This window comes from Homo sapiens, chromosome 2 (genome assembly GCF_000001405.40).
Source record: "Homo sapiens chromosome 2, GRCh38.p14 Primary Assembly".
NCBI classification, from domain to species: Eukaryota; Metazoa; Chordata; class Mammalia; order Primates; family Hominidae; genus Homo; species Homo sapiens.
This window is the reverse complement of record NC_000002.12, coordinates 49,069,725-49,097,195: the sequence shown is the minus strand read 5'-3', so window position 1 is coordinate 49,097,195 and position 27,471 is coordinate 49,069,725. Positions and strand designations below refer to the sequence as shown.

At 36.1% G+C, this 27,471-nt stretch overlaps 1 protein-coding gene across 4 annotated transcripts in view, besides 1 other annotated feature; it reads left to right on the top strand.

Moving 5' to 3' along the window:
• Positions 1–27,471, top strand: part of FSHR (follicle stimulating hormone receptor) — a 192,359-nt gene that overhangs the window by 57,320 nt on the left and 107,568 nt on the right. The window lies entirely within an intron of this gene.
• Positions 15,859–16,659: an enhancer, noted in NCBI's record as "OCT4-NANOG hESC enhancer chr2:49307676-49308476 (GRCh37/hg19 assembly coordinates)". NCBI's record gives its function as "activates a minimal SCP1, AML or CMV promoter by ChIP-STARR-seq in naive and primed H9 embryonic stem cells {active_cell/tissue: H9 hESC(naive and primed)}" and the evidence as "EXISTENCE:reporter gene assay evidence [ECO:0000049][PMID:30033119]".

The following is a 27,471-nucleotide window of genomic DNA, read 5'->3' as shown; positions in this document are numbered from 1 at the left end:
AGAAAAAAAGAATTTACTGAAAGCAGAAAAGCAGAACATTTTATATAAGAAAACAATAAAGCAAATGACCATGGATTCCTCATCAGAAATCATGTGAATTAGGTCATTCTTGCATTGCTATAAAGCAATAACTGAGACTGGATAATTTATAAAGAAAAGAGATTTAATTGGCTCATAGTTCTGCAGGCTTTACAAGAGGCACAGTGCTGGCTATTGCTTGGCTTCTGGGGCTGGGGAGACCTTGGGAAACTTATAATCATGGCAGAAGGTAAAGTGGGAGTAGGCATATCACATGGCCAGAGCAGGAGCAAGAAAGTGGTGCCACCCACCTTTAGACAGTCAGATCTCATGAGAACTTACTCACTATCACAAGGACAGCACTAAGGGGATGGTGCTAAACCATTCATAAGAAATTCACCAGTGATCCAGGTACCTCCCACCAGGCCCCATCTCCAATACTGGGGATTACAATTCAACATGAGATTTTGGTAAGGAAAAATACATAAACTATATCACCATGGTTGCCAGAAATAAATTGAACATTTTAGTATTAGCAGTAGTTGTAATATTTTACTGGAGATATTCATATACCATAAAATTCACTCTTTTTAAGTGAACAATTAAGTGATTCTTAGTGCATTTGCTAGGTTTTGCAACCATCTCTATTATCTAATCCCAAAATATTTTCATCACCCTGAAAAGAAACCCCATATCGTTGGCAATCAATGCCTATTTCCTTCTCCCCCTAGCCAATGGCAACCAGTAATTTACCTTTTGTTTCTATATATTTGCCCATTCTGGGCATTTCATGTAAAATAATCATATACAATATGTTCTATTACCTCTGTTTTTCACTTAGCATAATGTCTTCAAGTTTCATCTATGTTATATCATTTATCAGGACTTCATTCCTTTTAATGGCCAAGTGGTATTCCATTGTATGACCGTACTACATTATGTTTATTCATTCATTCATTGATGAATATTTGGGTGTTTTCAAATTTTGACTATTGTGAATGATGCTTCTATGAATATCCATTTTTGTATGGATGCATGTTTTTAATACTCTTGAATAAATACATATGAGTAGTATTTCTGGATTATATGGGAACTCAATGTTTAACTTTTTGAGGAACTATCAAAGTGTTTGCTAATGCAGCTACATTAATTTACATTTCTACTACCAATGTGAGAGCATTCCAATTTATCTTCATCCTCATCAACACTTAATATTGTCTGTCTTTTTAATTACAGTCATCCTAGTGAATGTAAAGTGGCATTTCATTGTGATTATTTTATCTGCATTTCCCTAATGACTAATGATATTGAGCATCTTTTCATATGTCTATTGGCTATTTGTATATCTTTACTGGAGAAATATATTTTCAAATCTTCACCCATTTTAAAACTGGGTTGTCCCTTTGTTGTTGGGTTGTACCAGTTCTTCATATATTCTTGATAAAAGACCTTTCTCAGATACATGATTTGCAAATATTTTATTTTGTGGGTTGTCTTTTTGCTTTCTTGGTAGTGTCTTTTGATGCACAAATATTTTTAATTTTGATTAAGTCCAATGTATCTACTTTTTCTTTTGTTTATGCTTTGGGCATCATATTTAAGAAACAATTGACTAATCCAAGGTCACATATATTTACTTTCATATTTTCTTCAAAAAGTTTTATAGTTTTAGCTCTTACAATTTGATCTTTAATCAATTTCGAGTTAATATTTACAAACGATGTGAGGTAGGGATTCAATTTCCTTCTTCTGAATGTGCCTATTTAGTTGTCCCAGCACCATTTATTCAAAAGACTATTCTTTCCCCTATTAAAATGTCATCACCCTTGTCAAAAATCAGTTACCCATAAGTGGATGGGCTTATTTCCGGACTCTCAATTCTATTCCATTGACTTATATGTTTGTCTTTGTGCCACTGCTACCACATCTTATTACTGTAGCTCTGTAGTGAATTTTGAAATCATGAAGTATGAGTCCTCAACTTTGCTCTTTTTCAAAATTATTTTGACCATTATGGGTTTCTTGCATATTTTTGTAAATTTTAGAATCAACTTCTCAATTTCTGCCAAGAAAAATAAAAGCAGCTAGCGTTTTGATAGAAATTGTATTAAATTCTTTCTGGGAATTTGTCCATTTCATCTAGGTTATCTAGTTTGTTGGCATACAATACTACATAGTATTCACATAATCCTTTTTGTTCTATAAGGGATAATATCCCATCTTTTATTCCTGATTTTAGTAATTTGGGTCTTCTCTCTTCATTTCTTAGTCATTCTAGCTAGTTTTATCAAAGTGTCCAATAATAATGATTTTTTAAAGAACCACCTTTTGGTTTTATTGATTTTTTATATTGTTTTTCTATTCTCTATTTTATTTCTCTTCTAATCTTTATTGTTTATTGTTATTTCTTCTGTTTCTCTAATTTCTTAAAGTTTAAGTTACTGACTGGAGATTTTTCTTCTTTTTTAACGTAGGCATTTGTAGCTATACATTTTCCTCAAAGCACTGCTCTCTCTGAATCCCATAAGTCAGGATGTTGTGTTTTTGTTTCCATTCATGGAACAACATTTTAAAGTTCTAAATGAAAAGATATTTTGACTCCAAATTCTATGTCCTGTGAAAATAGACTTCAAAAATAGAGGTAAAATAAGGCTTTCTCAAAATAATGAAAACTAATAATTTGTTAGCTGGGAAATCCTGAAGAAAAATTTTACAAAAAGGAAACAGAACATAAATAATAAAGGAAATGCAACAGAAATGGCAAAATGTCTACAATATCTGCGTAAAGACAGTAAACTATTCTTCTCCCCTCTTAAATTATTTAAATATGTATTTGGCAGTTGAAAGCAAAAAGAATAACCTTATCTGATGCAATTTTTAATGTTTGCAAATAAAATGCCTATGACAATTACAACATGGAGGGAGGAGCTTAATGGTGGTGGCAAGGTTTCTGTATTACCATTGAAGTAATAAAATATTAATTCTAAGTGGATTCTAAAAGTTTAATCCCTAGAGCAACTACTTAAAAATTTATTTGAAGATATGTAGTCAAATACAATTTGAGAGAAATATATTTAAATAATCCAAAAGAAGGAAGAAAGGAGGAAACTAATGAAATATAGAGTAAACAAACAGGAAACAAATTAGAAAGCGATAGACCTAAATCTAAAGATATTAATAATTATGTGTAAATGATCTGAAGACACCAGTTACAACAAAGATATTCAACTATGTGCTATGTAAAATAAATCCATTTTAAATATAATGTTTTAGAAAGCTTTAGCCAGGCACAGTGGCTCATGCCTATAATCCTAGCAATTTGGAAGGCCAAGGTGGATGGATCATCTGAGGTCAGGAGTTCGAGACCAGCCTGGCCAACATGGTGAAACTCGGTCTCTACTAAAAATATTTAAAAATTAGCCAGGCGTGGTGGTGCACGCCTGTAATCCTAGCTGCTTGGGTGGCTGAGGCGGGAGGATCGCTTGAACCCGGGAGGCAGAGGTTGCAGCGAGCTGCGATCGTACCAATGAACTCCAGCCTGGGAGACAGAGCAAGACTCCGTCTCAAAAAAAAAAAAAAAAAGATAAATATAATGTTTTAGAAAGGCTGGAATAAAAGGATGAAAAAAGAGAGACTATGCCATGCCATGTAAACACAAATCAAAAGATAGCTGTAGTGGCTATATTAATATCAGATAACACAGACTTCAGAGCAAGGAAAAATTACCATGAAAAAAGAGGGACATTGCAGAATGACAAAAAGGTCAAGAAGACAATGATTTAAATGTGTATGCACCTAACAACATTTCTTCGATATACATGAATCACAAACTGATACAACTGAAATGAGGAATAGACACATGTACACCTCTATTTGGACGTTTTAACACTCCTATCTCAGCAATCAAATGAACAAGTAGACAAAGTCAGTAAGGATACAGAAGAATGAATCACATTACCAGCCAACTAAATCTAATTGATATTTCCCAGTTCATGTTACAAAGCCGGCATTACTCTGATATCAAAATTAGACAGAAATAGTAAAACAGAGGAAAACTATGGACAAATATTCCTTCATGAATATGGATGAAAAATCACTGAAATCTTATTAGCAAGATTGAAGGCAATCCAGCAACATAAACTAAGAATTATTCACAATGATCAAATGGGGTTTATTCCAAGAATGCAAGACTGTGTTGAAATTCAAAACCAAAGCTGGGTGTGGTGGCTCATGCCTGTAATCCGAGCACTTTGGGAGTCTGAGGCAGGTGGATTAGTTAAGGTCAGGAGTTCGAGACCAGCCTGCCCAACATGGTGAAACCCCATCTCTACTAAAAATAGAAAAAATAGCTGCGCATGGTGGTGCGCATCTGTAATCCCAGCTATTTGGGAGGCTGAGGCAGGAGAATCACTTGAACCCGGGAGGTGAAGGTTGCAGTGAGCCGAGATCACCCACTGCACTCCAGCCTGTGTGACAGAGGGAGACTCCGTCTCAAAAATGAAAATAAAAATAAAATAATAAAATAAAGAAATTCAAAAGCAAACACTATAATTTATACAATGTAATTAAAAGACTAAAGAAAAAAGATTAAATCAATTAAAGAAGATAAAACATTTGAAAATAATCCAATATCTATTCTTGGTTAAACATTCAGCAGACTAGAGATAGAAGCAAACTTTATTAGCTTGATAAAGAGCATTTACCACAAACACCATACTTAATTGTGAAACATAAAAAGCAAGAATGTCCACTTTCACAACTTCTATTCACATAGTACTAGAAGCCTTTGCTAGGGTAATAAGGCAAGAAAGAAAAATAAAAGGCATTCAGATTGGAAACACAGGAACAAAATTGTCTCTGTTCATAAATTACCTGATTGTCTACATAGAAAAACCACGCAATGGGTCTCCAAAAAAACGCTCTTATAACTACAAAGTGAGTTTAACAAATTCATAGGATGCAAAGTCAACATGTAAAAATTCTTTTTATTTGTAATTTAGCAGCGAACAATTAGAAACCAAAAATAAAATCTAACATCACTTACAGTTGCTCAAAAAATTGAAATACTTAGTTGTAAACCTAATAAAATAGATACAGGATCTGTATCCTGAAAGCTACAAAATGCTGATGAAAGAAATCAAATAAGACCTAATTAATGGAAAGCCATACTGTGTTGTGTTCATAATCAGAAAATTCACTATAGTTAATTCTCCTCAAACTGATCTGTAGGTTAACATAATTACAAACAAAATCCCTGAAGGATTTTTTGTAGATACAGATTAGCTGATTCTAAAATTTATATGAAAAGGTAAAGGGATTAAAACAGTCAAAATAATTTTGACAAAGAAGAACCAAATCAGAGAACTCATGTTAACCAATTTAAAGACTTACTATAAAACTGCAATAATCAAGAAAACATAACATTGGCAAAAAGACTCATAGATCTATCCATTTAGCAGAACAGACCCACAAAATTATAGCTAATTAATTTTTGACAGAAATCTAACGTAATTCATCAGCAAAAGGATAGTATTTTTAAACAAATAGCACTGGAGCATATGTTTTTAAAAAAATTGTTATTGGCTGGGCATGATGGCTCATGCCTGTAATCCCAGCACTTTGGGAGGCCAAGTTGGGCAGATCACTTGAGGTCAGGAGTTGAAGACCAGACTGGGCAACATGGTGAGACCCCATCTCTACAAAAAATATAGCCAGGCATGGTGACACACACCTGTAGTCCCAGCTACTAAAGAGGCTGAGGGGAAAGGATCACTTGAACTTGGGAGGTCAAGACTGCAGAGAGCCGTGATGATGCTACTGCACTCCAGCCTGAGTGACAGAACAAGACCATGTCTCAAAAATTTTTTTTTAATGTTCTAAACCTCATACCGTACACAAAAATTCTCCCAAATTGTATCATAAATCTAAATATAAAACATAAAAGCTATAAAAAACTTAGACAAAAACACTAGAGAAAATCTCCATGATTTTAGGCAAAGAGTTTTAAAACATGACATCAAAAACACAATCCATTAAAAAAAAAATGGTAAGTTGGACTTCATCGAAATGTAAAACTTTTGTTCTATGTAAGCTACTATCAAGAGAATGAAGGACAAACTACAGATAGGGAGATAATATTTGTAAACCCTATGTCTAAAAAAGGACTTCTATCTAGTATATATAGAGAATTCTCAAAACTCCAGAAAGAAAACAAGAAAAAAAATTTTTTTAATCATGGGAAAGAATCAGTCACTTCACCAAAAAAAATATAAGAATGACAAATAAGCACAACAAAACATGCTCAGCACTAAGGAAACAATGTAGCCATTACGTAACTAATTAAAACCACAGTGTGATAAAACTTTATAGCTATCAGAACAGCTCAAAACAAAACTGACTACTGCATGCTGACAAGGATGTAGAGCACCTGGAACTCTCATAAATACCTCCTGAGAACCCAATGTGGTACAGCTGCTCTGGAAAACAACTTAGCAACTTTTTATGTAGTCAAACATATTTATCATGTGACCCAGTAATTTCACTACTATATATTTATCATGAAAAATGAAAAGTTCTATTCATAAGAAACCTCCACATAAGTGTTTATAGCAGCTCTATTCATAATCATCCCCAAACAAGAACAACCCAAAGGTACTTCAACAGGTGAATAGGTAAACAAACTGTGGTATATTCATACAGTGGAATACTACTCAGCAGCAAAAAGGAACAAACTACTTATTGACCTATACAACTAAACAGATGAATCTCAAGTGAACTGAAAGAAGCCAGTCTCACATGTTATATACTGTATGATAGCATTTATATGACATTTTAGAAAAGACAAAGTTATAGTAACAGAGAACAGATTGGTCATTACTAGCAGTTAAAAGTGGAGGGACAGTGTTTCCTCAAAATGTCAGTCCAAGGGAGTTTTGTGGTGATGGAGCTGTTCCATATCCCGATTGTGGTGGTTACATGAATCTATGCACATGTTCAAACTCATAGAATTTTACACACACACATGCACACACACACACACACACACACACACACTCGATTTTACTGTATGTTAGTTAAAAAAGAAAAAACTTGCTTTGTTTCACTGTAGTGAGAACTAAAAGCAAGATCATGTGATAAACAACCCTGGAAAATGCCTGTACATGATAGGGCTTCAATAAATGTTAGTTCATTTTTCCTGGTCTTTTTGCCTTTTAGCCACTGGTAAGTCTTTTTCGAGTGGTCAGCGTCCCTGCTAGCTAGAATGTACACGCTTTGCACACACAGTTCGGGATTAGAAAAGCCTGGTGCAGACTATGTAAATCTGCATCATCACTAGCAGTGACTCAGCTCTCCACTATCATTTTTCAGGCTTACATTAGTGCAAAGACCCCTTTTAACAGGAATATTTATTTTTTAGATCAATAGCTACTGTCAAATTAGGAACTGTCAAAAATCAAGACACATATCTCATTCTTAGAGTAACATGAAATATATCACTGTTTTCCAGAAATTGGAGACATACTTTCTTTGTTAAATGCAAGGTTTTGATCCTATTATATCATTGTTGCATTGCAGCCTGGATGAGCTGTTGTTTTGTTACACGCGGTTACTCTGGAGATGAGCATTTATAGATTTCAGTATTTTTTAATGAAGAGTCTCTGTGTTTCTGTTGGCCAATGCTATTTATTTTTACCAAGTAAGTATTATAAAAGCCAAACTGCCTTTCCTCTATTTCAACATGTATGCTATTTATTCAGGACTTGCTCTGTTCTAATAGTATCTAAAGAAGCAGAATGTATCCTTGATATTATTTTACGTTCTTCTGATGCAAAACAGTTATTTATCTTGATTTCTGGTAAAAATCTCTGGTTCATATTTGAAAGAAACAATGCTGAAAAGAAAATGCTTTCATTCCATCCCTACAGAGGAAATTAAATTTTTCAGGGAATCTTTCTCCCTGTCGAAATACATGTTGTTCTTAAGGAATAGGTGTAGATATAATCCGGTTATCACCACGAAGATTAAATAATTAAATAAATCATTCCTCAAACTCATATAAATAAATATTATATTATATTATATTAGAAGTGAATTTGGATACACAATTGCATTCTGAGCACTAAGTCTTCTTCACTTTTCTCTGAATCTATTATAGTTTTATGCATAGGTTCTTATTTCTAACAGTTCATTTGAACGTTCGACATTTGCATTTTACACAGTCAGTAAAATATAATTACTCAATGCATATGTTTTCTGATTAAATGTGTGAAACTTTTAAATAGAATACAGAAATTAGTTTTAAGTGCATTATGAAAGACCTAAATTTATCTTTTTGGTTCATGGAGTAGTGATCAGCTTTCCTTGTGACTTCATTCTCAGTGACTGTCAGTCAGCCAGAGTTCATGGACTCTAAAAGGAAGTTTATCCCTAGTTAATCCTCCTATATCTAAGCAGAAGTAGCCCCAAACCAACCTTTATGTGACAGTCACCTCACATTATTGCATCTTGAGCTAAATATTGTCAATAAAATTCACAGTTAAATCAGGTGGATATTAACTGAGGGCACCTAAAGAACTGCTTTAGAGGCACAATGCGTTTGTCATTCTGCCTGAAACTACAGTGAATCATTAAAGTCGAATTCTGTTTACCCACACTGACAGAGCAAAAGTAAGGGCATCACTGAATTATCCCAACCGGGGTGCAGAATCTAGAGTAACAAAAGTTCAATTCTGAATTAATTTTATACCAGACTGTCTTTCTGAAGAATTTCTGGTAAAATTTCTTCTTTCCCCTTCTTGGGGCATCTTTGTGTTTCCTCAAAGTCCCAGCACAACCTCGCATGACTGCTGTCTTTTTTTAAATTTTCTTACCTGGTCCTACTTTTTAAAGAAACATCTAAGCTCCAGAACTGTTTTGTTATCACTCATTCTCCTCGCCCTCATTAAAACTTTACCAGCCCTGGGTCCCATTCTCTTATCCCTCTGCACCACATACACACGCAGACTTGTGCGCATGGGCTTTGGGACCAGACAGGCTTCAGAACTACATCTGCCACTTTCTAACTGTGTCCTTGATCAAGTAAATAAACCATGCTCAGCTCAGGGCCCTCATCTATAAGTGGACACAAGTATGGATAGTTACCTATTTCACAAGATGATTTTGAAGATTATATTAGATACTGCAAATGAAATATTTAGCACAGTGCCTGATACAGCTAGTGCTAAATGCCACCACTGTCATCATCACCACACACTCTATACTATAGTTATTAGACTACACATATCTCTCTCTCAATATAATTAAAATTGGTAGAGAAGGAAATGTGTCTGTCTTATCACTGTTTTTTTCCTAAGAAACTTAGATAATGTGTGTCACGTAGATGTTCAATAAATAATTTGAAAATGCATAACAGGATATATTAGTCCTCTCCCACATCTTTCGCCTTCCCTTGCTCCCTCCCTCTGTCTCCATCCATCCATCTACCACCCAACTATGCATATGTATGTAATTTTTAAAGGACTGTTTCTTTTTTACCTCTATTACTTTATGCATGATTGATCCTGTTTTCATTCCAAGTAATTGCCTCATGACTATACATGCTTTTATTTTTTCAAACTATTTCTGATTGCCTATTTCTCTGGCTAGAACATAAGCTAATTAGGGCAGATACTTCGTCTTTTTTATCATATGTCCTCAGGGCCTAGCGCAGTGTCAGACATATGAATAGGAACACAGTGAATATTTGTCAAAAGAACAAGTGAATGCTCTCTGGCTCTTTCAATATCTGCTTCTGATTCTTCATCTTGGACTCCCCTCTCTGGCTTTCTTGTTTCCCTTCCATCCAATGCTCTTCTTCTTTACTGTTATATACACTACCCTCATTTATGTACTGTGTACACCTGAGGTAGAAGAGTCCTTTCCACCCTGATCTGGCCCCAGTTACCAAAAAGCCTAACCTCCATTGAACAAAGAAGAGGATCTCCAATGGAAAGTGTATATATCCTGTTTATTTGTGTTGTTATTCCAATGCCTTGACCTGTGACTGAAAGGAGAGAGATATGGGATAGAAGTAGCTTTGTAAAAAAAAAAAAAAAAAAAAAAAAAAAACCCTGCCCACAGGGTCCCTCAACTACTGAGCAGAGCAACTTGCTGCTGGCTCTTTATGCTATTCTACTAAAGCAGGTGTTCTCAGTATTGACCACACGTGAAAATCACATGAGTATCTTTTAAAATAAGGATGCCTGGGCCAGGCACGCTGCCTCACACCTGTAATCCCACCACTTTGGGAGGCCAAGGCAGGCAGATCACCTGAGATCAGGAGTTTGAGACCAGCCTGGCCAACCATGGCCAACACGGTGAAACTAAGAAAATTAGCCAGACATGATGGCGGGCACCTGTAATCCCAGCTACCTGGGAGGCTGAGGTGGGAGAATCACTTGAACCTGGCATGTGGAGTTTGCAATGAGCCAAGATTGCACCACTGCACTCCAGCCTCGGCAAAAGAGCAAGACTTCATCTCAAAAACACAAATTAAAAAATAAGAAATAAAATAAGGATGCCTGATAGCACACCCACCTCCAGGAGAGAGGCTCAGGCATTTATAGTATGAAAAATCTTCCGCAGGTGATTATAAAATGAAGCCAGATGTGAGAATCACTGAGTTCTGAAGCCCACTCGGACTGCAGCTTTTCAGGTACCAGAAATCTCAAAGTCTTAAGTTACAAGACAGAAGAACAAATCAGCAAGGACTCTGACTCACTGACAACTTATGCCATTTATAAGGTGTCACCCATCACTCAATTATAGCTAATTGTGATTATGTGAGAGTGTAGCTCAGGGTTGCTACATCTTTTCTGTCTTGAAGAGAAGCCATAAATCTGCAATTTTAGATGAACTCTCACAATGTAAAGTGCTGGCACCTATTCAAATTTCTCTATAATGTAGTATGGGCTGAAATAAAAGCATATCTTGGGCTGGATTACATTCATGGGCCAATCATTTGTAGTTTTTACTTTATAACAACTGCTCTCCCATATCCTAAGAAAACCTTTCTATATTTTTATTATTATACTTTAAGTTTTAGGGTACATGTGCACAATGTGCAGGTTAGTTACATATGTATACATGTGCCATGTTGGTGTGCTGCACCCATTAACTCGTCATTTAGCATTAGGTATATCTCCTAATGCTATCCCTCCCCACTCCCCCCCCCCACAACAGGCCCCAGTGTGTGATGTTCCCCTCCCTGTGTCCATGTGTTCTCATTGTTCAATTCCCACCTATGAGCGAGAACACGCGGTGTTTGGTTTTTTGTCCTTGGGATAGTTTGCTGAGAATGATGGTTTCCAGCTTTATCCATGTCCCTACAAAGGACATGAACTCATCCTTTTTTATGGCTGCATAGTATTCCATGGTGTATATGTGCCACATTTTCTTAATCCAGTCTATCATTGTTGGACATTTGGGTTGGTTCCAAGTCTTTGCTATTGTGAATAGTGCCCCAATAAACATACGTGTGCATGTGTCTTTATAGCAGCATGATTTATAGTCCTTTGGGTATATACCCAGTAATGGGATGGCTGGGTCAAATGGTATTTCTAGTTCTAGATCCCTGAGGAATCACCACACCACACCTATTCCAAAATTGACCACATAGTTGGAAGTAAAGCTCTGCCTAATTGCCCTGGCCAGAACTTCCAACACTATGTTGAATAGTAGTGGTGAGAGAGGGCATCCCTTCGTTGTGCCAGTTTTCAAAGGGAATGCTTCCAGTTTTTGCCCATTCAGTATGATATTGGCTGTGGGTTTGTCATAGATAGCTCTTATTATTTTGAGATACGTCCCATCAATACCTAATTTATTGAGAGTTTTTAGCATGAAGGTTGTTGAATTTTGTCAAAGGCCTTTTCTGCATCTATCGAGATAATCATGTGGGTTTTGTCTTTGGTTCTGTTTATATGCTGGATTACATTTATTGATTTGCATATATTGAACCAGCCTTGCATCCCAGGGATGAAGCCCACTTGATCATGGTGGATAAGCTTTTTGATGTGCTGCTGGATTCAGTTTGCCAGTATTTTATTGAGGATTTTTGCATCAATGTTCATCAAAGATATTGGTCTAAAATTCTCTTTTTTTGTTGTGTCTCTACCAGGCTTTGGTATCAGGATGATGCTGGCCTCATAAAATGAGTTAGGGAGGATTCCGTCTTTTTCTATTGATTGGAATAGTTTCAGAAGGAATGGTACCAGTTCCTCCTTGTACCTCTGGTAGAATTCAGCTGTGAATCCATCTGGTCCTGGACTCTTTTTGGTTGGTAAGCTATTGATTATTGCCACAATTTCAGATCCTGTTATTGGTCTATTCAGAGATTCAACTTCTTCCTGGTTTAGTCTTGGGAGAGTGTATGTGTCCAGAAATTTATCCATTTCTTCTAGATTTTCTAGTTTATTTGCATAGAGGTGTTTGTAGTATTCTCTGATGGTAGTTTGTATTTCTGTGGGATCGGTGATGATATCCCCTTTATCATTTTTTATTGCGTCTACTGAATTCTTCTCTCTTTTTTTCTTTATTAGTCTTGCTAGCGGTCTATCAATTTTGTTGATCCTTTCAGAAAACCAGCTCCTGGATTCATTAATTTTTTGAAAGGTTTTTTTGTCTCTATTTCCTTCAGTTCTGCTCTGATTTTAGTTATTTCTTGCCTTCTGCTAGCTTTTGAATGTGTTTGCTCTTGCTTTTCTAGTTCCTTTAATTGTGATGTTAGGGTGTCAACTGTGAATCTTTCCTACTTTCTCTTGTGGGCATTTAGTGCTATAAATTTCCCTCTACACACTGCTTTGAATGCGTCCCAGAGATTCTGGTATGTTGTGTCTTTGTTCTCGTTGGTTTCAAAGAACATCTTTATTTCTGCCTTCATTTCGTTATGTACCCAGTAGTCATTCAGGGGCAGGTTGTTCAGTTTCCATGTAGTTGAGCGGTTTTGAGTGAGATTCTTAATGCTGAGTTCTAGTTTGATTGCACTGTGGTCTGAGAGATAGTTTGTTACAATTTCTGTTCTTCTACATTTGCTGAGGAGAGCTTTACTTCCAAGTATGTGGTCAATTTTGGAATAGGTGTGGTGTGGTGCTGAAAAAAATGTATATTCTGTTGATTTGGGGTGGAGAGTTCTGTAGATGTCTATTAGGTCTGCTTGGTGCAGAGCTGAGTTCAATTCCTGGGTATCCTTTTTGACTTTCTGTCTCGTTGATCTGTCTAATGTTGACAGTGGGATGTTAAAGTCTCCCATTATTAATGTGTGGGAGTCTAAGTCTCTTTGTAGGTCACTCAGGACTTGCTTTATGCATCTGGGTGCTCCTGTATTGGGTGCATATATATTTAGGATAGTTAGCTCTTCTTGTTGAATTGATCCCTTTACCATTATGTAATGGCCTTCTTTGTCTCTTTTGATCTTTGTTGGTTTGAAGTCTGTTTTATCAGAGACTAGGATTGCAACCCCTGCCTTTTTTTGTTTTTCATTTGCTTGGTAGAGCTTCCTCCATCCTTTTATTTTGAGCCTATGTGTGTCTCTGCACGTGAGATGGGTTTCCTGAATACAGCACACTGATGGGTCTTGACTCTTTATCCAATTTGCCAGTCTGTGTCTTTTAATTGGAGCATTTAGTCCATTTACATTTAAAGTTAATATTGTTATGTGTGAATTTGATCCTGTCATTATGATGTTAGCTGGTTATTTTGCTCATCAGTTGATGCAGTTTCTTCCTAGTCTCGATGGTCTTTACATTTGGCATGATTTTGCAGTGGCTGGTACCGGTTGTTCCTTTCCATGTTTAGCGCTTCCTTCAGGAGCTCTTTTAGGGCAGGCCTGGTGGTGACAAAATCTCTCAGCATTTGCTTGTCTGTAAAGTATTTTATTTCTCCTTCACTTATGAAGCTTAGTTTGGCTGGATATGAAATTCTGGGTTGAAAATTCTTTTCTTTAAGAATGTGGAATATTGGCCCCCACTCTCTTCTGGCTTGTAGAGTTTCTGCCGAGAGATCTGCTGTTAGTCTGATGGGCTTCCCTTTGAGGGTAACCCGACCTTTCTCTCTGGCTGCCCTTAACATTTTTTCCTTCATTTCAACTTTGGTGAATCTGACAATTATGTATCTTGGAGTTGCTCTTCTCGAGGAGTATCTTTGTGGCGTTCTCTGTATTTCCTGAATCTGAATGTTGGCCTGCCTTGCTCGATTGGGGAAGTTCTCCTGGATAATATCCTGCAGAGTGTTTTCCAACTTGGTTCCATTCTCCCCGTCACTTTCAGGTACACCAATCAGACGTAGATTTGGTGTTTTCACATAGTCCCATATTTCTTGGAGGCTTTGCTCGTTTCTTTTTATTCTTTTTTCTCTAAACTTCCCTCCTCGCTTCATTTCATTCATTTCATCTTCCATCGCTGATACCCTTTCTTCCAGTTGATCGCATCGGCTCCTGAGGCTTCTGCATTCTTCACGTAGTTCTTGAGCCTTGGTTTTCAGCTCCATCAGCTCCTTTAAGCACTTCTCTGTATTGGTTATCTAGTTATACATTCTTCTAAATTTTTTTCAAAGTTTTCAACTTCTTTGCCTTTGGTTTGAACGTCCTCCCGTATCTCGGAGTAATTTGATCGTCTGAAGCATTCTTCTCTCAGCTCGTCAAATTCATTCTCCGTCCAGCTTTGTTCCGTTGCTGGTGAGGAACTGCGTTCCTTTGGAGGAGGAGAGTCGCTCTGCTTTTTAGAGTTTCCAGTTTTTCTGCTCTGTTTTTTCCCCATCTTTGTGGTTTTATCTACTTTTGGTCTTTGATGATGGTGATGTACAGATGGGTTTTTGATGTGGATGTCCTTTCTGTTTGTTAGTTTTCCTTCTAACAGACAGGACCCTCAGCTGCAGGTCTGTTGGAGTACCCGGCTGTGTGAGGTGTCAGTCTGCCCCTGCTGGGGGGTGCCTCCCAGTTAGGCTGCTCAGGGGTCAGGGACCCACTTGAGGAGGCAGTCTGGCTGTTCTCAGATCTCCAGCTGCGTGCTGGGAGAACCACTGCTCTCTTCAAAGCTCAGATGGAAATGCAGAAATCACCCATCTTCTGTGTCGCTCACGCTGGGAGCTGTAGACTGGAGCTGTTCCTATTCGGCCATCTTGGCTCCTCCGCCTAACTTTAACTTTTAAACTTGTGTGAAATTCAAAGAACACAGAACCCAGTATCATTTACACTTGGGCCATCATAAAAAGGCAGCTTTCTCAAAAAGAATATTGGCTGTCTTCCAGACTGCCAGAAAGCTTTCTATGGAATCTTTTAAACCGTTCTCCTTTAAGCCACAAAGGGAAATTAAATTTGGCCAAGTGTGAATGGACTGCCCAAAGTATGAAATATTTCTAACAGAGACAGAGTTTAAGAGAATCATAAAGCTTCCCAATTTCAGGGAAGAAAACATAAATTCCACCCACCCCATTTATCATGTAAGAAACATTAAGTAACCTGCAGTATAGTGACAAAAAAATTTTTTTTAGTGTCATAGTGGTGAATTATTTAATCTTTACAGAAATCATTCAGGCACTTTATGGGGAGGTAAAGGTACTATCTGACAAGAATGGTGTGATGATACTTTTAAATAGCTGTTTAAAAACAAATGAATTAATAGTGAGTTAATAAATGATGCTTGGGATATGCCCTGGTGAGAATTTCAATCTTGAAAATTAATTATGAAATATTTCAAGCATGAAGTATAGAGAATATTATAATAAATGCCCATAAGACACCACTTAGCTTTGCCAAATCTTAACACTTGGTCATAATTGCTTAGTTTTGTTTTTTTTTAATATAAGATACTTTAGATACAATTATGTACTTCTTGTCACAGAAGTGACTATACTGATTTTGGTGTTGATCATCTCCAGAATTTTTTAAGAGATATATATGCATCTTTAATCCTGTTTTAAAATTTAGTCTTTATTACTATTCCTGTTTAATGGTGAGGCCAACAGATCAAGAGACAACTACCATTGAAAAGATAATTTGTTATACTCACAGAACCCAAGAGAAAGGAATCACACCCTGGGGCAGGAGGAGGAACACAAAGAAACAGTAGGGTCAATCAGAAGGCAGAGAAAGTAAGGGGGAAATGTGGATAAAACTCTTATTGTCTTTCCATAGGAACGGGCAGCCAGAGACCAGGTAAACAGCTTAAGATTGGCTAGTTTGAATAACTTCTCGGCAAACTCTGCAGTGTAGTGGATGTCCCTAGTTGTCAGATACCTGGACCTAGGTAATTAGAGTAGGGGAATAATGGCCCAGAGTGTTAAGAACCCTGTAAAGGAGATGGCTGGGAGTATGGACTTTGGATTAGTTGGTTTGCATATGAAAGGTGCATTCACAGACCAGTTGTTTGCTGTCTCTGGGCATTAGCCACCACCACTGGGAGGGGCAGTTTCTTCAGGGTCAGCAAAGCCAGAAGATGTCAAAGCATCAAAAATACACAATAAAAAGACATGAATACAAAACAACATACTATATTATTTTGCATGTTGTTAACCTTTATAAAAATATCATTCTGTTCATGTTTACATACATCTTATCAACTTTTTGGTTTTTGCTCTCAACATTATACTTTGGAAATTTTTCCAGCTGGTTGCATGCAGCTCAGTTTACTCCTTTTTTCATTTTAAAATTTGGCATTGTGTAAATATACCACAGTGCATTAATTGTATTTATGTTCATACTTGAGGGTACTTAAGTTGTTTCCAGTTTTTTGGTTTAGTAATGATGCTTCCGTAATTAATGTTTTGTCTGACCCCAGGTGTACATGTGGCAGAGAGAAGGACATGGAATAACTGGGTCCAAGGGCATTTTGTATCTTCTACTTTAATGAATATTAACAAATGACTCTTGAAAGCAGTTGTAGCAAATTATCCTTCCATCAAGACTGTAGAAAATATCCTACTGTTCCACTGCCTCACCAGCATGGATACTGTGGGATTTTCCTTTCAATGTTCACCAATATAATGGTGAATAAAGGTGTCAAAGTATTGTTTACACTTCTTGATTACTACTGAAGATGAACATCTTCTTTTTTTTACATGTTTATTGATCGTTTGCATTTTATCTTCTATAAATTGCCTGTTCATATCTTTTGCCAATTTTTCTACTGGGTTGTTTGTATTTCTCTTATTATTTAGCAAATTTCTTTATATACTTTACTGGCATGTGTTGCAAATATCTTTCTCCAGTCTAACGCTTACACATAAACTACAGTTCAGTTTATGTATCTTTGTTTTACAGAAATTTTAAGTTTAGTGTACTTAAATTTATTAATTTTTCAATTTTAGTGCGGGATTTTTGTGTGTTTTTTTAAAAAAGTCTTCTGAACAGACATTTTATTTAAAAGTTTTAAAGTCTTAATTTTTCCTATTTATATCTTTAGTAAAATTGGAATTGAGATTTAATGTGGTAATAAGCAAAGGTCTTAGGTTACTCCACAAGGAAAATCAATAGTCTTAGCATCCTTTATTGATTAGTCCATATTGTCCACCACTGATTTTTGATGATACACTGTCATTTATCATATTCCTTTGTTTGTGGTTTATTTCCGTGCTCTTTATTTTCTTCCATTGGTCTATTTTTTTAAATCCCTGTCGATATCATAATATTTTAATCACTCTAACTTTAGAAAAATCATATTTCCTGGTATGCCAATCCCCTCAATCTTGATCTACTTCTTTAAAATTGCTTTAGCTTTTCTTTAAAACTTGCTCTTCCATATAACTATTAATCAGCCAGTTAATTTCCACATACCCATACAAAAACAAACAAAAAAACAACTGTGCTTTAGATGGGTTTTGCCTTCAATTTATATACTGATGTGGATTAAACTGATTATCTTCACAACATTGAAACTTACCACTTATAAATGTGCTTATTTCTGTTTGTTTAGGGTTTTTATTTTTTTTCAATTAAGTATTTGATTACTTCTCCTAAATCCTGGAGCCTGTTTTTTTCTTAGACTAATTTCTTGATATGGTATAACTTTTGTGGTCACTGTAATTGATATAGTTTAAAATAATATGGGGGGGTTATTTTTGTCCACTAATCATACACCCAGCTATCTAACTAGACTTTCTTATCAGCTGTCATAGTGATGTCGTAGACTGGTTACAGAGTAGGCTTTGTGTGTGTGTGTAAACAATGATGTTTTCTGTGGGTAATGATAGTTTTTCATCAGTAATTCTGACATATCTTTTTCATTTTCTATTCTTATTGCGTAGTAATTATGACGTATCTTTTTCTTTCTCTATTCTTATTGTGTAGGCCAGGGTATCCAGCACAATATCAAATAGAGGAGGTAACAGCATCATTGTCTCATTCCAATTTTAAGCGGAATGTGTCTAAAATTTCTCCATTCAGTATATTTATTTTAGTGTTTAATCGAATTACCCCTTATCAGATTAAGAATTTTTTTCTTAAAAACTTTTATTGTGATAGATTTCCATTTTTATCAAATACATTTTCTATGTTTATTAAGAAAATCATGTGGCTTTTTCTCTTTTAATTTATTTATATGAAAATTTTCTTTGAAAGAGTTGTCTAATATTTAGCAACTCTTGAATTCTGTGACACATTCAAGCTGATAATAATGTATTATTTATTTAGACTCTGCTAAATGCACATTGTCCCTATATTATTTCCTTTTATTGTCCCTGTCTACTTTTGTTACCAATGTTACACTAACCACATAAAAAGGGTTGGAGAGCATTACTTCTTTTACTAGCTGATATGGTTTGGCTAGTATGGCAGGGACCTGGTGGGAGGTAATTGAATCATGAGGGCAGGTCTTTCCCGTGCTGTTCTCATGATAGTGAATAAGTCTCACGAGATCGGATGGTTTTAAAAAGAGGAGTTCCCCTGCACAAGCTCTCTCTTTGCCTGCCACCATCCATTTAAGATGTGACTTGCTCCTCCTTGCTTTCCACCATGATTGTGAGGCCTCCTCAGCCACATGGAACTGTAAGTCCATTAAATCTCTTTCTTTTGTAAATTGCCCAGTCTCAGAAATGTCTTTATCAGCAGCATGAAAGTGGACTAAAACAGTAAATTTGTACCAGTAGAGTGGGGCATTGCTGAAAACACACCTGAAAATGTGGAAGTGACTTTGGAACTGGGTAACAGGCAGAGGTTGGAAACAGGCAGAAGACAGGAAAATGTGGGAAAGTTTGGAACTTCCTAAAGACTTGTTGAATGGCTTTGACAAAAATGCTGATAGTGATATGAACAATAACGTTTAGACTGAGGTGGTCTCAGATGGAGATGAGGAACTTGTTGGTAACTGGAACAAAGGTGACTATTGTTATGTTTTAGCAAAAAGACTGGTGGCATTTTGCCCCTGCCCTAGAGATTTGTGGGACTTTCAACTTGAGAGATGATGTAGGGTATCTGGTGGAAGAAATTTCTAAGCAGCAAAGCACTCAAGACTTGACTTGGGTGCTGTTGAAGACATTCAGTTTTATAAAATAATCAGAGCCAAAAGTTCAGAAAATTTGCAGCCTGACAATGCAATAGAAAAGAAAATCCCAATTTCTGAGGAAATAGTCAAGCTGGCTGCGTAAATTTGCGTAAGTAACAAGCAGCTGAATGTTAATACCCAAGACAACATGGGGAAATGTCTCCAGGGCACGTTAGAGATCTTCACAGCAGCTGCTCTCATCACAGACCCAGAGGTCTAGAAGGAAAAAGTGGTTTCAAGGGCCAGGAACAAGGTCCCCATACTGTGTGCAGCCTAGGGACTTAGCGCCCTGTGTTCCAGCTGCTCCAGCTGTGGCTGAAAGGAGCCAACATAGAGCTCGGGCCATAGCTTCAGAGGGTGCAAGCCCCAAGCCTTGGCAGCTTCCACATGATGTTGAGCACAAAAGTCAAGATACACAAAAGTCAAGAATTGAGGTTCGGAAACCTCCACCTAGATTTCAGAAGATGTATGGAAACACCTGGATGCCCAGGCAGAAGTCTGCTGCAGGGGAGAGGCCCTTGTGGAGAGCCTCTGCTAGGGCAGTATGGAAGGGAAATATGTGGTGGGACCCTGACACAGAGTCCTTACTGGAGCACTGCCCAGTGGAGCTGTGAGAAGACGGCCACCATCCTCCAGACCCCAGAATGGTAGATCCACCGACAGTTTGCACCATGTGGCTGGAAGACACATGGGAGGGAGGCTGTACCCTGCAAAGCCACAGGGGCAGAGCTGCCCAAGATCATGGAACCCACCTCTTACATTACTGTGACCTGGATGTGAGAAATGGAGTCAAAACAGATCATTTTGGAGTTTTAAAGATTTGACTGTCCCACTGGATTTCAACCCTGCATCGGTTGGCCAAAATTGGCCAAATTTGTTTTGGCCACTTTCTCTCATTTGGAATGGCTGTATTTACCCAATACCTCTACCCCATTGTATCTAGGTAGTAACTAACATGCTTTTGATTCTACAGGCTCATAGGCAGAAGGGGCTGGCCTTGTCTCAGATGAGACTCTGGATTGTGGATTTTTGAGTTAATATTGAAATGAGTTAAGACTTTTGGTAGACTGTAGGGAAGGCATAATTAGTTTTCAAATGTAAGGACATGAGATTTGGGAGGGGCCAGGGGCAGAATGATATGGTTTGGCTCTGTGTCCCCACTCAACTCTTATCTTGAATTCCCATGTGTTATGGGAAGGACCCAGTGGGAGGTAATTGAATCAAGGGGGCGGGTTTTTCCCGTGCTGTTTTCACGATAGTGACTAAGTCTCATGACATCTGATGATTTTAAAAAGATGAGTTCCCCTGCACAAGCTCTCTTTCTTTGCCTGCTGCCATCCATGTAGAACATGACTTGCTCCTCGCCTTCTGTCATGATTGTGAGGCCTCCCCAGCCACGTGGAACTGTAAGTCCATTAAACCTCTTTCTTTTGTAATTTGCCCAGTCTTGAGTATGTCTTTATCAGCAGTGTGAAAATGGACTAATACACTAGTCTGTGGTATAGTTTATATAAGATTGGGATTTTTTGTTCCTTTGAAGGGGTGGAATTTACTTCTAACATCACATGGTACTGACCTTATTTTTTTAGGGGACAGCTGTTAAATTACCAACACAATTTGTTAATAATTATAGGTCTATTCACTTTTCTGTATCTTCATGAATCAATTTTTGTAAGCATATATTTCTGTAAAAATTATCCATGTTTTCTGATTTTTCAAATCTACTGTTAGTCTAGCTGTGGTGTCTCATGCCTGTAATCCCAGCACTTTGAGAAATAGAGACAGGTGGTTCACTCCAGCCAAGGAGTTGAAGACCAGCCTGGGCAATATGGTAAAACCCTGTCTCTCCCAAAAAAACCCAAACAAAAACAAAAGTCAGCCAGATGTGGTGGTGCATGCCTGCAGTCTCAGCTGTTTGAGAGGTTGAGGGGGCAGGATCAATTAAGCCCAGGAAGTCAAGGCTGCAATAAGCCATGATTATGCCACTGCACTCCAGCCTGGGTGACAGAGCAAGACTGTCTCAAAAGAAAAAAAAAAGTAATGTTATAAAATTGTAGAGTTCTCTAATTTAAATATGTTATATCTGTAGTTAAGTGCCATCTTTCATGCCTCTAATTGTTTGGGTGCTTTTTTTCTCTCTCAGTTTTTATTCTTTGCTGATTATAAACAAATATTCTTTCTAGTCTTAATCCTTCCAAAGAATTAGCTTTTGCTGTTGTTGATCTTGTTTATTGTTATTTTTAATGAATTTTTATTCTTCTCTTTATTCTTTCTTTCCACTCTTTTAGGTTTCCTCTCTCAAGGCAAATTTAAATCTTGCAATGTGATATTTTATTTTAATTTTTTATAATTTACAAATAATAATTGTACATATTTATGGGGAGCATAGTGATGTTTCAATGCATCAGAACAGAGTGATCAGAACAGAGTGATTAGCATACCCATCATCTCAAACATTTTCCATTTATTTGTGTTGGGAACGTCAATATCCTTCTTTATGATTTGCAACTATATATTATTGTTAACTATAGTCATCCTACAGTGATATAGAACACTAGAGATTATTCTTCCTATCTAGCTATAATTTTGTATCCTTTAACAAATCTCTCCTTATCCTTCTCGTCCCCATACCCTTCCCAGCCTCTAGTATCCTCTGTTATACTTTTTACGTCTATGAGATCAACTTTTTCTAGCTTCCATATATTAGTGATAATATACAGTGTTCAACTTTCTGTTCCTAGCTTGTTTCATTTAACATCATGTCCTCCAATTCCACCCATGTTGCTGCAAATGACAGGATTTTATTCTTTGGCTAAGGATTTTATTCTATGGCTAAATAGTATTCCATTATGTATATATACCGCATTTGCTTTATCCATTTATCTGTTGGACAACTAGGTTGATTCCATACCTTAGCTATTGGAGTAGTGCTGCAATAAAAACATGGAAGTGTAGATGTCTCTTTGATATAGTAATTTCCTTTCCTTTGGGATAAATTCTAAGTAGTAGGATTGCTGGATCATATGATAGCTCCTTTTGATGAACCTTCATACTGATGAAACTTCATACTGTTTTTTATAGTGTCTGTACTAGTTTATTTTCCCAGCAACAGTATTTATGTGTTCCCTTTTCTCTTCATCCTCACCAACATTTGTTATTTTGTTGTCCTTTTGAGGATAGCCATCCTAACTGGCGAGACAATATCTTGTTGTGGTTTTAATTTGAATTTTCCTGATGATCAGGGAACCTGTTTTATGTATTTGTTGTTTTCTTTTGGGAAATGTCTGTTCAGATCATTTGCTTATTTTCTTAATCAACTTTTTTGTTGGTGGTGATTTGTTGTTTTTTTGCTGTTGAGATGTTTGAGTTAATCTTCTGTCAAATGGGTAGTTGGCAAATATTTTCTTCCATTCTATAGGTTATCTTTTCATTCTGTTTTTTGTTTTCTTTGCTGTGAAGAAGCTTTTTGGTTTGACATAATCCCATTTGTTTATTTTTCCTTTTGTTTCCTGTGCTTCTGAAGTCTTACTCATAAAACCTTTTCCCAGACCAATGCTCTGAAGCACTTCTACATTTTCTTCTAGTAGTTTTATCATTTCAGGTCTTATATTTAGGTCTCTGAGTCATTTTGTGGTCATTTCTATATAGAATGAGAGGTGGAAGTATAGTTTCACTCTTCTGCCTAGGGATCTACAATTTTCCCAGCAGAATTTATTGAAGAGACTGTCCTTTCCCCAGTGAGTGTTCTTGACACCTTTGTCAAAAATTAGTTGAATGTCAATACATGGATTATTTTCTGGGTTCTCTAGTCTGTTCTTCTGGTCTATGTTTCTATTTTCATGCCAATACCTTGTTGTTTTGGTTACTATAGCTTTGTAGTATATTTTGAAGTCTGAGAATGTGATGCATATAATTTTGTTCTTTTTGCTTAGAATGCTTTGGTTATTCAGTATCTTTTGTGGTTCCACAAAATTTTAAGTTTTTTTATTTCTATAAAGAATGTCATTGCCATTTTGATAGGGATTGCATTGAATCTGTAGATTGCTTTGGGTGGTATAGTCATTTTAACAATATTAATTATTCTGATCCATGAACATGGGATGTCTTTACATTTGTATCTTCTTTAATTTCTTTTATTAGTGTTCTGTAGTTTCCCTTGTGAAGGTCTTTCACATCCTTGGTTAAATTTATTCCTGGGTATTTTTTTGTAGCTATTGTAAATGAGGTTGCCTTCTTGAATTCTCTTTCAGCCAGCATGTTGTTTATGTATTGAAATGCTACTGATTTTGTATATTAATTTATCCCACAACTTTACTTAATTCATTTATCAGTTCTAAGAGTTTGTTGGTAGAGTCTTTAGGTTCTTCTGTATATAAGATCATGTAATCTGCAAGTAGGAACAATTTGCCTTCCTCTTTTCCAATTTGGATGACCTTTATTTCTTTCTCTTGCCTAATTGCTCTGGCTAGAGCTTCCAGTATAATTATGAATAAAAGTGGTAAGAGTGGGCATCCTTGTCGTGTTCTAGTTCTCAGAGGGAAATGTGAAAGCATCCATAAGATGTTAATTGTGATGCAAAATATTCTAAACTTTATTATATTCTCACTTACTTTATTTCTAAAATGAAAATTTATCAAATATAATGCCTTTATCTATATTTCTGATTTAAAGGAAATGTGCACATACCTTTTGAATTTGTTAATTAGAACTAGATCAACAAGGTCATAATGAATTGTCAGAAGGTTGGTGGTTAAAATAAGCCTTCTATAATAAGCAGAGTTTACAATGTTAAGTGGTAAATCCAGCTTTCTTCAGTAAACATTCAAACAGGTGTAGTTCTCTGTAATAATCATTTTCAGTGTTGAAATTATAAATCGAGTCCATGAAACCATTTTAGTAAACCTTTTGCTACTAGTAGAAAGCTCCTTACCCATGTTACCAATAAACTCAAAGAGAAACTTAACCTTATAATTGCAAAATTGCAAGTTAGTGTAGATTAAACTTTATCTAATATGAAATTATAATGTCTACCTTAGTGTTTACCTTCTCAAACATTTCTATCAACAGTCTTTCATTTTACCAATGTTTCTTATTAAACAACTTTCAAGTTTCACTTTAAGTTCTAGCAAAAAATGGAATAAAAATTATTGGGTTCATAATTTTCTGTTTCCACAATTCTATTTTTCTTTTAGTAGTTTATTGTATTGGAAGCTTGGCTCATTAATTTTTAATCTAATTTTTTGTTTCCTTTTCTGGTACAATAATTTAAATCTACAAATTTCTGCTAGAGGTAGCAATTTACCTATATCCAATGAGTTTGACATGTTGTATTTTCATTATAGGTCAATCCAAATAATTCCTAATTATAATTGCGATGTCTTCTTTGACCCATGTATGACTTAAAAGGGTGCTTGTTTGTTTGTTTGTTTGGTTGGTTGGTTGGTTTGCTTTGCTTTTGGTTTTGTTCTTTCCACATGGGTCTATGTGTATTGGGGGAGAAGAGTTAATTATATTTATTACTGATTTCTAAGTAATTTAATAGCATCATCATCAAAGAAAGTAATTTTTTAATACTAATTTTCTTCGTAACCTAGTTCTTGGTCAATATGTTTTTAGTGTTCTTTATTGACTTGGTGGGGTTTCCAGCCATTATGACAACCCACTTATATTTCCTTCCTGCAAATCTCATATTGAAATATCCATTGTTGGAGATGTGACCTAGTGGGAGGTGACTGTGTCACGGGGGCAGATCCCTCATGAGCAGCTTGGTGCCATCCTTGCAGTAATGAGTGAATTCCCACTCTATTAGTTTTCACAAGAGCTGATTGTTGAAAAGAGCCTAGCATCTCCCTTCCCTTCCTCATCCTTCATCCGTTGCCACGTGATGCCTGTCCTCCTTCCCCTACTGCCATGAGTGGAAGATTTCTGAGGCCCTCACCAGAAGCAGATGCTGATGCCGTGTTTCTTGTACAGCCTGCAGAACTATGAGTGAAATAAACTTTTTCTTTATAAATTACTTAGTTTCAAGTATTCCTTTATAGCAACACAAATGAACTAAAACATTCACCTATTCAATACAAAACACTAATTTCTTCATTCACTATTCCTTCTTGTGTTTTGTGCCTTCCTCCTGGATTAAATTTTCTTATCCTTTAAAGATATTCTTTTTCTAGAAGTTTATTCATAGCTAATTAAATTTGTTCAGAAGTAATTTTATTTTATCCTCACATTTGAATGATTTTCTACATTATAGAATTTTAAATTGGCAGTTATTTTCTCTAATAATTTTGAAGATATTTTTACAAGGTTTTCTAATTATTTTTTATTTGAAGATAGTCTATATTTTTCCCTCCACTTGCATTTAAAATATCTTCTTTAATGGCTCTACAGTTTTAATTTATAGGTTTCTGGAAGTGGATTTGTGTTTTCCTCCCTGGGATTTGTTGAGATCTCTGAATCTGAGGATTTATATCTTTTATAAGTTATGAAAGATTTCTGGATGTTATTTCATTGTAATTTAAATTGCCAGTTCTCCATATTCTATACTTTTCTAGAATGTGTATGAGATGAAAATGTATCTTTACATTCCATCTTCCACATCTCATCTCATGTGCCAGTTTCGTACCAAAATGTAAATCCCTTAGCCTCCAAGTTCAGAAACTCCCCCAGGGTTCCTTGGTTTTAGTTTACCCTCTTAGAATTCTGGTTTGCATTCACCACTGCTCAGGGTTCCATCTGGTATTCAGCTGCTTTACTTTGAGCCCCTGGGGATTTCTCATATCCTTGCAAGCTCTACTATGCATTTAAAATAATATTTGTAATGTTTTATAGAAGACTTCTGGGTAATTTTTCGTGAAAATGTCTTCAGATTATCTTGTTTATAACATTTCAGGAAATAGAGGTCAGTGAAGATTTTAAGCATCAAAAATATTTAATTATGTTAATAAGTTTGAACTACTTAATACAGACATAGTCCTTGAAAATTTTAGAAAAACATGCACACTACTGGGGCTGAATCAAAAAATGCTTTGTAGTTGACATTATTAAATAGAAGAGTTCGTTATTCAAGACCTCACTCTCCATGCATCTCGTTAATTAATATTTTACTTTAATGTTTCAATTTCCTTAAAACTTTTAGAGTGTTGCGTAGTTTAAAACAATTTTATTATCTTCATTTATTGGTTTATTTTCATCATTCTTCTGTCTTGTGTTAAATAGGAACAAAAGGAACTTGTATGTATTAACTAAGGTTAAGTGAGTACAATTAAGGTAGGGTGTTGAGCTAACTTTGATTAATTTTAGATAGATATTCTAGAAGTAGATAATCTTTGATCTTAAATTAGATCACCTTTTATTTAAATGGCTTAATAAAGACAATGCTTTTAGTATGATCTAATATTTTTGAGGCTTGGGTTCAAAACTCATCTACTCTTGACAATATTTCTGTTATATATTTGTGTATTTTGGAATCTTTCTCATCTTAATCCTTGTAAAGCATTTATTGCTATTACAACAACTATAGCCCTCAACTGTTTCCTGGCAATTTCAAGGTTTCTGGTATTGCCTTCCCAGCAAGTATATAAACTGCTCCAGGGCAGCAACAGCACACAGGGTTCTCTCTCATGATTCATCACCACAGGGTTGGTACACCTAGCAGCCAAGCACAAACAAGGTGAAAGAAAAGACCTGATTGCCTGAGTAGCAGCTCTATCTGAAACAGAAATTTCACTAACACCAATATATAACAGAAGGCTAAAGCAATAAAATATTTATGAAACTATCCAAGTCCATGGTGTTTGATTACAATTCCTGCTCACAGACTGCCTTGTAAAAGGACGTGTTAAAGATGAAAGAAAACCAAATCCCTATTAATCAGTTACAAAGCTAGAAAAAGCCAGAGAGAAGAAGGCTGGGGAAAGAATAATATTCTTATTATAAACATTTT